Source organism: Homo sapiens, chromosome 1 (assembly GCF_000001405.40).
Source record: "Homo sapiens chromosome 1, GRCh38.p14 Primary Assembly".
Lineage (NCBI taxonomy): Eukaryota > Metazoa > Chordata > Mammalia > Primates > Hominidae > Homo > Homo sapiens.
Genome location: NC_000001.11, coordinates 217,443,656 through 217,455,701, shown reverse-complemented (window position 1 = coordinate 217,455,701; position 12,046 = coordinate 217,443,656). Strand labels below are relative to the sequence as shown.

General features: G+C 36.6%; 1 protein-coding gene across 4 annotated transcripts in view, besides 1 other annotated feature; it reads left to right on the top strand.

The window, feature by feature from the left end:
* The window catches only part of GPATCH2 (G-patch domain containing 2), a 204,099-nt gene that overhangs the window by 175,389 nt on the left and 16,664 nt on the right, over positions 1-12,046 (top strand). For 2 of the 4 annotated variants that reach the window (XM_011509690.4, XM_011509689.4), the window contains 2 exons: positions 6,365-6,453; positions 8,526-8,594. In XM_011509690.4, the coding sequence (XP_011507992.1) occupies positions 6,365-6,453; positions 8,526-8,594 (158 nt within the window). The remainder of the gene's footprint in view (positions 1-6,364; positions 6,454-8,525; positions 8,595-12,046) is intronic. The other 2 variants (XM_017001592.3, NM_018040.5) reach the window with 1 other exon arrangement.
* Positions 1,681-1,975: a silencer, noted in NCBI's record as "tiled region #1921; K562 Repressive non-DNase unmatched - State 9:DNaseU". NCBI's record gives its function as "represses a minimal TATA promoter and a strong SV40 promoter by Sharpr-MPRA in K562 cells {active_cell/tissue: K562}" and the evidence as "EXISTENCE:reporter gene assay evidence [ECO:0000049][PMID:27701403]".

Sequence of the window (12,046 nt, the reverse complement as noted above, 5' to 3'; positions counted from 1 at the left end):
TGCCATCTTCTACCTAGTGTTTCCCTGTCTCCTGTCCATATCAGTGGCTCACTCACACTAGGCACATAGGAAACACAATAAACAGTAGCTCCAGAAGAGGCCACCAATTACCTGTAGCAGGATAAAGCAGACTGGGAAGAAGGAAGTTTGGACTCGAACCCTCTGACTAGAGTGGAAGAGGCACTAACAGGACAGATCCATCTGAAGCAGTGAGAGGAACTACACAGTGGCAGGCAGATCATTCTATCTAAGGGGTAGAGCCTCAGACTACATGTGGTGGAAGGTTAATCAACATAGAGTCAAGAGTTGCCAACAGGTAGGCAGTGAACAGGGATAGGAGCCAGGGGCAGCTGATGCTTGGAGAAGGGTAGGCAGGCAGCATTAGAAAGAGCCTCCATCACCAGATTCCATTTCATGGCCAGGAATTGAGCATCTAGGAGGTCAAGGCAATTACCGAGTTCTGAAAGAACTAAGTTACTACAAGGTTTGTGGTAAGGTAGGGTAAGTCTAGAATAAAGCTTGGATCCAATTACTGAAACCCAAGTACTAACTTCAGTGCACTGAGCTAAAACTTAAACCACCTCTTGCTAAGATCAGGTTTGAGGCAGAATGTGTAGTCAAATGACCAAAGCCATCAAGAGAGAAGACCAGAGCCAAGAACTGGTCAGGCTGTGATCCACGATACCAAATGCAAAGGGTTGCTATGAATGTCCAAAGAGATCATGCACAAAAAGCTGCTTTGAAAGAAAACACCACCATTAAAAACAAGGATTTGGTGGGGTGCAGTGGCCTGTAATCCCAGCACTTTGGGAGGCAGAGGTGGGCGGATCGCTTGAGGTCAGGAGTTTGAGACCAGCCTGGCCAATAAGGTGAAACCCCCGTCTCTAGTAAAAATATGAAAATTAGAGGGCATAGTGGTGTGCACCTGTAGTCCCAGCTACCCGTGGGGGCCGGGAGGGTGGGCGTGGTGCTGAGGTATGAGAATCACTTGAACTCAAGAGGCAGAAGTCACAGTGAGCAGCGCCACTGCACTCCAAACTGGGGTACAGTGAGACTCTGTCTCAAAAAGGGGAGGAAAAAAAAAGGAAAGGTTTTTTTTTTTTTTTTTTTTTTGAGACAGAGTCTCGCTCTGTCGCCCAGGCTGGAGTGCAGTGGCGCGATCTCGACTCACTGCAAGCTCTGCCTTCCGGGTTCACGCCATTCTCCTGCCTCAGCCTCCCGAGTAGCTGGGACTACAGGCGCCCACCACCACGCCCGGCTAATTTTTTGTATTTTTAGTAGAAACGGGGTTTCACCGTGTTAGCCAGGATGGTCTCGATTTCCAGACCTCGTGATCCGCCCACCTCAGCCTCCCAAGGTGCTGGGATTACAGGCGTGAGCCACCGCACCAGGCCAGAAAAACAAGGATTTAATTCAATCATTCTAGTCGTTATAAAACATTTATACTTGAAAGTGCTTGATACTTATTGTATTGTGCGTTTGGGTACTAAAGGAAAAAAAGCTAGATACTGATGTCTGTCTGTTCAGTTTAATACGTTGAGACATATTGACACCAAGTAAAGCGGGGAGGGTAATTTGGATCTAGAAAAGGAAGTTCACATGGGGCTGGGTTTCCCAACCCCCATCCTTATCTCTGCCATTGGAATGCTCCTCCAGTGACACCACAGACCTGCTTTATTTCTGTGCAGCTGATGCCCTGTCCAGGCTGATATTTTTCTAACTGACAGTGAGTGTTCTTGCCAAATGCCAGGGCCCATAGTCACGTCTGTTTGTCTGTTTTGCAGCTTGTCCGAGGCTGCTTGGGAACACATTTTATCCAGGGGGCAGCTTTAACTAGGCCTAATTCTCTGAACAGCCTCTGTTTGTAATTGCATGCAATGAAGAGACAAGTTCCTCTTGTCTTCTCTTTACTATTATTGCGTCTGACACTGCCTGCTTCGGTCCTTGTCAGCCCGTGTCAAAAGCCAGGTTTTCAGGCAAGGTGGTTCTCAGTAGAGTTTTTGTTTCTGTTTTTTGTTTTGAGTTTATTGGGTTGTTGTTTTGTTTTGTTTCTACTTTTTTCCCTCCAGATAAGATGTCCAGCTTCCTGCCACCACCCCATTTAAAAGATAGCCTGCAGCCAACGATGGGAATAAACCAAGTGAAGTTGGTTTAAAAAGCAAAATAAAACAAAAAGACTTCTTTTTGAGTTCTGCTTTTCTAATATTTAATAGGAAAATTTTCAGAAGTAATACTTGGGAAACCATGTTTCAAATCGTAAGTGACAGACCCGTAACAAAAATGCACCATTTCTTTATCCTTTCCACTTCAGAATAGGTTGGTTTTGATTTGTCTCCCTTCTCTTCCTCCCCATGCAAATATCCCAACTAAAACACATATCTAGTTGATTGGTGTTTTTCTGATACACCTTACAAAAGGATCTTAATATTGTTCTTTAATAACTTTGGGTCTGTTCCTAGGACGTTGCATTGTCATTCTCAAAACACTGCAGAAGAAAGAAACAGAAAATGCCGACCATCACCTTGAGTAGTATTCCAAATGTTCTGCTTTGCAAAGACAAATGACTCATTTAGACTGAAGAAACAAGGCTGCCTTTGAGACATTCATTGATTTTAAATTAAAAAATAACTGCTATTGTTTACATGAAGAGTGACAACTAAATAACAGAGTAGACCTTACTTAGTGTCATTTGTAGCAACTCCACTGCACCTGTCTGAAAGAAGGGGGGTGTGGGGCAAGCCTAAATGGGGTGATCTTATGGATCAATAATCCAGATCTCTCAATGCTGTGTAGCAGACAGTCAATTCTTGATAGAATTACTGAAATATACAGCTAGCTGTTTTTCTTATGGCTCAGGTCTTCAGGTTTGGTGTTGCTGAGTTTATTAACTTTATTCTCCTTGAACATTTTTCTCTTTTTCTTTATGTAGCTATGTTGGGGGTCGGGGAAGGGAGTTGAATGAAAATGTTATATTTCATTTGCTCTGTGAAGATACCCAAAATGTTTGGTCCAGCAGATGGAAAAAAAAAGGTTTAGAAGAGGGAGTTGGTTGTTCCTGAAGTTTGTTTTTCACTATCTTTGTAAATAGGCCTACATAATAAATTTTAAGAAGTATGAAAAAATAGTTATAAAGGCAATATTGACTTGGGAGAGTTATTTTTAAGCAATTAGAATACTCCAATTACATATAACTAGTGCAAAAACAAAGTAAATAGAAACCAATGGTATTAATAGTCACAGTGAGCATCTAATATCAGGCACTCAAGTATTTCTTCTGATTATTTCTAAAAATGTGTTTCTTAAGAAACGTGCCCTGGCTAATAATTGTTTTAGCTTAGTTTGAGCTTTAAAAGTATCTGAAATCAATAAAACCAGCCTTAATTCTTTTAAAATTTTTATTGATATTTAATATTTGTACAACCAAGAAGTTTCATTGTGCAGTAACTTGCATCATTCTTTAGTTATTATAACTGAGATGAGGAAGTGAGTGTCTGAACTATGGCAAACCTAGTTGGTCTCCTCCCTCTTCAGTCTCAACCGTGTCCAACTCGAGCTCTCTACCAGCATCCATGCATCTGGTCTACTTTAATGACTCCACATCGCTGTTAAGTCCAAACATCTTCATGGGACAAAGGTGGCATGTATGGCCCCATGGTCCAGCCGCAGTGCTCTTTTCCATTCGTGTTATACAGTCCCTTCTGCCAACACTGCTCTGCAGGCATCCTGAACTACTCATAACTCCCTGAACAGAGCAAACTCTTTATCACTCAGAAATTCGTTCAGCAAGTATAGAAAACCTGACCTGCAGTGGCTTAAACTGTAAGAATGTTTATTATGTTTTAACAGAGGATCAGAAGTAGCTAGTTCATGAGTTGGTTTTCACAGCTTGATTACAGAAGACCCGCACTGCAGAATTCAGATTCCCACTTTATTCCCTGTTTTCAGAATGGTACCTTCCCCTCCTCTTCAGCTATTTCTGATATCTGAGCCTGTCTGGTATATGCTCTACAGAAGGTAAACTTTGCTCCAGTCTTTTGCTAAGGGGAGATTTCAATAGGGATAAGATATGTGAAAGGATACTTTTTTACAAAAAGGTAATATTATGACTCTCATATGGATATAAAGTGGGTATGTGTTAAAGATTTTATTTAACTCATTAGCTAATGAGGGAACTGGGCAGATGTTATAACCAGTTGAAAGGAGAAGTCAAAGAAGCTCAAGTGTATATGGAGTAAAGGAGTATTGAAATGATGGTTTAAATGGACCCAAAACTAGCTTTTCCACAGAAAGGAAGGTTGTCATTCCACAGGACAGAATTTATTTGTGTTTCTGTAGTTAAGAAGTATTTCCCATTGCTTTCGGTTAGCTACAAGGTAGAGTTGTAAAATAGATTCCATAGAATTAGCATTCAATGACTGAAAGGGTATACTCCTGAAAGCATAGTTTTTCCATGGAAGCACAAATTTTATCCTACCAAGGAAAAAATGTATATTTGATGCAGCATATTTAGGATTGTTGTAAGGACTAAATAATACAGTCTTCACTAGTCGTTAATAAAGTTGGTTATGCCTGCCGCCACTACCACTGTACCTAATGATTTCATATACACATATTTATGTTTTCTTTCGCCACTCTGACTTTAAATTCTTCCAATAATGAGAACTGAAAGTTTCATTTCCTTTGTATCTCCCATCTTCTCTTTTCCCCCTCCCCATTTTCACCACCACTGGAGTCTTATGCTAAGTCCATAATAGATACTGATAAATGTTTGCTGAATAAGTAAAGGAATAACTTTAAATTTGTACAAAAAGAGTATGTCTTCTCTGTGACATCATTCTACTTTTTAAAAATGTATATATAATCTTAAAAAGTAGACACAGTCATAACTATTCATTTTTCTTGGCATCATGAGCCAAGACCATACCTCAAAATCCAATAAAAATGTTATAGTCATGCATGTTAATGAACTTTTGGAGAGCCAAGCAGAGCTAAGTTAGTCATTAACAGAATGAATTTTTGAAAGGTTTTTTGAAATATTTTAATAATTATAATTATTTTGTAACAGAAACAGTATGCGCTCAATAAAAAGGTAAAAGAAAACTAGACAAATGCTCATTTACTGTTAAGATATGTTGATAAGGTTTTGTGGTGTATTTTTTTGACTGCATGTGGCCCTTAGATTACTCAGATCATTAATTATGACTGTACTTTGTGCTTTATAAATAAAATCTATATTTGAAATAACTGTACTCTCCAGCACTAATTTTTCATTATATTTAACCATATGAGTATATGTGTTTAAATATATACCTTGAATTTTGAATTTTACCTGAATAAATTTTAGTTAATTTTTCCCTTTTTTTCTTCCTAATAATCTGTTTGTTCTCAAATTAGTTTCTTTAAAACCTCAAGATACTGTCAGATATCTCTCTGTCTTACTAAAAGAACATGGGTTGTCATAAACATGCTTTCATTTATTTCTGCTTCATGTTCCCCAGGCCCTATCCCAACCCTGCATCAAGGATTATGATGCAGGAAATGAACACAGAATCTTTCTATAGCTTGAAAAGTTTGAAGACTTTAAATGCTTTCTTTTTTGTATTCGTCTTGATTTCTAACTGGCCCATTTCTTATTTTTTTATATAACTTTTCAATTTAGGAGACCAAAATTAGACAGAAGAATCTAATTATATAGTAACTGGTTCCAAAAATAGCAGAAGGTCCACTTCTCGGTTTTTATATATCATGTTTTTACAAATATAATCCAGTATCATGTTAGAATGTTAAATAGCAGTAGACCAGCATTAATGCATTCAAATTATGTTTTCTCACTCAGCTAATAAATAATTAACTGAAGAATTCTAATCATATAAATTATAAGGGAAGCATCACTATTTCCTTCTATTTAAAATGTTTTAAGAGAATTCACTGCTGCGTAATATCCTAAAAGAAATTGATCATACTTTTCCTGTAATAAATGTTGTTCTGACAGTAAAGCATTAGTAACCAATTGATAACCTAGCAACAATATTGTGATCTCTTTAGATAATTAATCTTAGCTATTTTCCTGTCAGAAGCAACAGTGCTTGATTTTATGTTGAGCCAGAAAGATTGCCAGTTTTGAAAATTAAAAAGCATTCCTTTTATATTATTCATTCCAGTAACAATTTATGATGGCGCATTTAGCTGCTGAACGCTTGTCAACAAATGTAATTATGTTTCGATATAAACAAGATTGGTGATTTTACTACGCAGCTCCATCTTTGTTGAGAACGTTTTGATTTAGGTTCAGATGATACAAGCTGTGTATTTATGTGTCATTTTTTCTTCTTTGTTAATAGTTTTTTCTGATAATTATTCGTAGGCAAACAAGCATGCATTTAGGATCCTTATGCACGGGAGATATCAAACGGAGAAGAAAAGCTGCACCTTTGCCTGGACCTACTACTGCAGGTAAAACAAAAGCAGGGTTAGAGTGGAGCACAAATGTAGAGTTCATAAATCATGAAGAATAAAATGTAGATACTTCTTAATCACTTGCAATGAAGAAGAAGCACAGTTGCAAGAAACTATGAAAACAAATCATTTGCATGTGGTATCAGGGTGTATTACATGTTCCATGTGTAGATCTTCCAGGTTAACGTATATGTTACATCCCTGCCCAAATGCAAGATTTCGTGTAAGGTATTAAAAGGATACAAAAACTTCAAAGGCTATATCTTTGGCCTCTATAAATTTACAGTCTTGTTGGGAAAATAAGGCATAAATAGATGAAATGACAAATAACCCCAGAAGAGATTAATAGTAATAAATTCAAAAAGTATAGCCGCAGCCCCAAAACACAAGACCCCATGTGGTAGGAGATGGACACCTGACTGAGCAAATGTGGCAGTCTGGTTTCTAGTCCCAGTTCTGTAGCAGTCTTAGATTCCTCATTCCTTCTTTAGACAACATTAGTACTAGATTGCGAAAGCTCTCATTTCTACCTCAAAAATCATGTCGTTCTAATAATATGCCATTCTAATAATGAGCGTGGTATTGAGAAGACTACAAGTACTGATCAGAGGGAAGTCACTGTAGATCGGAGAGGACAGGAAGCCTGCCTTACTGAAAGGGCAAAGACTCGCCTTGTAGTGAAGGTTGTGAATAAAATAGTATGTATTGAAAGTCTCATGCAAGAGCAGTGGTAAGGGAGGCACAGATAAAGTCAGTGATAGGAGGAAGCCAAGTGGACATTAAAATGTAGACACCAACATATAAATAAACAGCCGTTAGCCATAATGGATTTGTGATGCAGCAAGCTGTATGAGAAAATGTTTTTCAGTGTAGATACAAAGAATAATAGCCTTGACCTATTGTCTGGGATCTTTAACCATACACATTTAGAAATTTTCTCTTAGCTTCATTTGGGCAGCCTTTATAGGAAAAGTGATTTTAATTATAGACTATGAAAATAAGATTCCTATCAACAGGAGAGTAAACAGTAAAAAGAAAAATATATGTAAGTATATGCATGGTTTTATGGGGGTGGGGTAGCATGGTGAGTTTAAGAGGAAAAAAAAGATGTGAAACTTACATTCTCTATTTTTTTTTTTTTTTTTCTGAGACAGAGTTTCACCCTTGTCACCCAGGCTGGAATGCAGCAGTGTGATCTTGGCTCGCTGCAACCTCCACCTCCAGGGTTCAAGCGATTCTCCTGCCTCAGCCTCCCAAGTGGTTGGGATTATGGGCGCCCACCACCATGCCCAGCTAATTTTTGTATTTTTAGTAGAGATGGGGTTTCACCATGTTGGCCAGGCTGGTCTTGAACTCCTGACCTCAGGTGATCCGCCCACCTCGGCCTCACAGAGTGCTGGGATTACAGGTGGCTCGTGAGCCACCGCACCCAGCCACGTTCTCTATTAGGGAACCTATTCCATAGTAAAGCACTAGAAAATTGAAGAATAACTTAAAATTGGAGCACTTCTAATGCAGTTGTTCCATATAAGGGACTAGATTATAAAATTATGCATTTAGATGCATACCTGATCATCTTCTGGCTGTATTGAATTTTCAAGATTAGGAAACACCTGTGTGTAGAGTGCGTTTGTATTTGTATAGAATAATATTTGCCACTTGTTGAGTACCTACTGTGTACCAGAAACTTTATTATTTTATCTTTATAACAACTGTATGAGGGAGATGGTGTTATCATCACCTTACAGATCATAAAATGAAGATGCAAAGAAGTGTTAGGTTAGCTACCTAAGATGACAGAATTATTGAACGCAAGGGAAGGTTTCAAGCCTAGGTCTGCATAACACCTAAATCCATGCTCTTTCCATAGCAATGTACTTACAGCCTCTTTGTAAGAATATATATATTTTCTTTATATGCACATTACATATATATAAAGATTGTCCTATTGCATATGCTGACTTAAACGCACTACTATATGCCTTAAGTTTTATAGAAGATTTATCTAACTATTACTATGTAGAAATGCGAATATTCATGAAATATTTCTAATATATCTCTTCATACAGGAACATGTAGCCACATTTTGGATGAAACACATGTCATCAGTCTTGCAATTCAGATCTTTCATAAGGCAGGTATAGGATTCTTTAACATCTGCATTCCAGTTGAATGGTCCCTGAATTTTCTTATCTTTCATTGATTCAACCATTAGCGGCAGAAACAGTACAAGAACAATCTTAGGAATTCTACTAAAGCACCTTAGTGGCAGCAATAAGGAAAAGAAAATACTGGGGTCACGTCCTAACACTCCGAACATATGTGAAATGAGAAGGAAAATGCATAATGGTTGAGGAGCGGATAATATAATTATTTCTGCAAGGCGATTTTGACGTTACAACTCAGTAACATCAGAAGAAATCATTTATATGGCATATGGGTACAAACATTGAACTTTAGCCTAAAACAGTTTTTTTTATATAAGCTTACACCAGCATATACCAGATTTTATATTTCAAAATTGTGATTTTCTTAATATTCAGGATGTTGGTATTACTACATTTTTACTTAGAAGATAAAATTCATAGAAATTTAATGCACTTTTAATTACTCAAAAAGTAGTGGAGCAGGAGAATTGCATCACTTATTTTCGAGGCATTTTTAAAATCTATGCATAACTGTTTGTCTCTAAGAGGAAGAGATTGAGGTTATCTTAAAGTCCTCAGTTTTAAATAGAATATCTTTTAATACCAATGAATCAACTCTAAGGTGAAGATTATTATCCAAATTCAAGTAAGAAATGGTTTTGCATAAATACACTTTGATAATGAGGGCATGAATCCTAGATCATCTTGTCTCTGAAAATTACAGTTTTCAAATTCTGAAAAAGAGTCAGTCACATAATAAAGAGTTAGTTATATTTGTAAACTTCTGATTTTTAGCTAAGGACAATATTCTTGCCCTTTTATAGGCCCTTGCAGAACTCCTGAAAAACACATTGAGTTGAGATATATTTTCGTAGTTTCTTTTGCCTTTAGTCAGCATTAACTCTAAACAAGAAAAATGCAGATGATAACAGTCTTTTATTTGAAATAGGGAGTAAGAGTTAAAAGACTGACAGCTTGAGTATTGTTTGATAATCCCCTCTGATTTATATGTGAAATATTATATAATCAAACAGCGAGTTTAGAAAGGATTTACCAAAAAATTGTCAGAAAACTATAATTAGGCACTTTAAATCCAAAACTGCATTTGTATAACAATTTATGACTGAAGATAAATTGTATTCATAATAAATAACACTTTTAATAAAAGATTTAAAGCCTCCTATGAAATTAATAACCCAGAATTGATTACGTTTACCTGCTAGTGTATTGAAAATTTTTCTCACCCTCTTTTAGCAATAGCTTTGAAGCATAATTTCAGTCGCTTTAGAAAGCGCTAGACTAACCAGCAGTGTTGTCATTTGAACATTTATTAATTGTGACAGGAACACCAAATTTATTTCAGTGCTTTAGCTTATTTACTGCTCTTTCACCTTTGTATTTTGTATTGACAAAGGAAAATGAATATTGATAAGGTTAGATATTGATTTTTTTAATGTATAGCTTGTTCTCTGCGTCATTCAAAGTCACATAATGAAACTTAGTGGATGTCTCAGTAGCAAAGGATGTAGATTTACTATTATAAAATTGAGAACTATCGAAGCAAGAAGGTTTGCCAGCAGAATGCATTTTATAGTTTGAAAAATGTCATCTGTAAAGGTGAAGAAAAGCAGTGAACAAAATAAGAGGAATATTATTAACACTTTTTAAAAAGGCGTTAGCAATGTTGGTTGTGGTCCATGTTTTTGGTAGAAGGCATAGCTTATTGAGGATTTAATAGTAAAAAGATTTAAGTTCCTTTTTTGAGATATTATGGCTACTATATTTTTAAAAAATTTTGTCCACTGTACAGTATGAAAATTCAATGTTATCCACAATTAATATTGCCTATTACTATTTTGCTTTCTATTGAAATAATGTCATAGTAAAATATTTATTATAAGGAGTCAGCCTTTTTTCTATACATTTTAAGTATAGAAGTGAAATGCCTTTTGAAGTTTAATGTCTTGATATGCATATTGTTCCAGGGTAGTTTTTTTCATGAACATGTGAGTTCTGGCAAGAGGTTACATTACAGCTTTTTGTGACTTTTCAACTTTTTTCTCCACGTCCTACTGATATTTCAATAGGAAAATAATCTTCTTGAATATTTAAGGCAGTGAAGGCAGGTTGTAAATAATAATAATGAGTGAAGACTTTTTAAAGGCTCATTTGCAATTAAAAGTCATGCCAAATATAATCAGAAATGTGTGGTGCAACCAAGCTCCTTTTCAAGGTACTAGATTTTATTTGTCCAAATTTATCTTATCAATAATTATATTTTTATTTGCTGCTATCCCTGGGTGCATATAGCTGCTGTAGATTATTGTAGCTCTTTCAAGATTTTAAAACAGGCAGACTTTTCCAAGGGGATTGTTATTAATTTTAAAACCAGACTCTATCTGAATGAATAGTAAAGCCTAGGATATATGCAATTCTTCACCTCTTGACACATACACCACCAGCCCACTCTTCGGTTGTGTTTTAGTAGAATCTTAATAAACAGTTTTCCATTATCATTCAGTACAGGATGGACAGAGTAAGCACACGTGTTAGATAGAAAAGATAGAAAAGAATTGCTGTTTCCTGATAAAAGACTAAATAATGAGAAAACACTTAAACTACCGAACACCTGAAAACACTGAATAAAATTTGAAGCCATCTTTTTACAAAGATAGCTGAGACTACAGGAAAGAAAGGGAAATGTTCAAGACCAAAATGGCCCTGAGCAGCCCCCACACTCACTCACACTACTGGCAAGCTCAAAAACCTAAGGCATGTTCGTTAGTTCCCCCGTGGACAGGGAGTCAAGCCTGGGATCCCAGCGTAAGTCTCCTTATCAAGTCAGAACCTCTAAAAGCTCCATCATCAGAAATGGGCAGACTGGAAACAAAACTTACCCACAGGCACTGTGGAAGATAAATAATCTTGTTTCTGCCTGGGCTCCAAATAGAAAACTCTCTGAAGATTTGTGACCAAGAGGCTGCCCTCACAATGAGTTTCTAGTTTTAAATTACACTAAGCCAAAAATTAACATAAAAACTGGTTTCAGAAGCACATTCAAAGCCACTCTAGAGGTGCAGGCCTTCAACCCAGGCCTCAGAGAAGCACCACAAATAAAAACCTACCAATGACGATCTCATAAACCAAAACTAAAAAGTTAGTTATAAAAACATATTCAAAAAAGAAAGGAAATAATTGTAGACAAAGAAAAGACAGATGTGGTAAAGAATCGAGTAGAAATTTGAGATTATTTTATTATGAAAATATCTTAAAAACTGTGCAAATCACTGAATGGGTTATATGACAGATTAGATACAGCTGAAAAGACACTGAATTTTAGGCGAGATCTGAAGAGTGATCTCTATGCTACATAAAAGCAGCACAGAGAGATAAAATGATTGAAAATATAAAAGAGGCTGAAGGACTTAAGGACAATGAAGTTC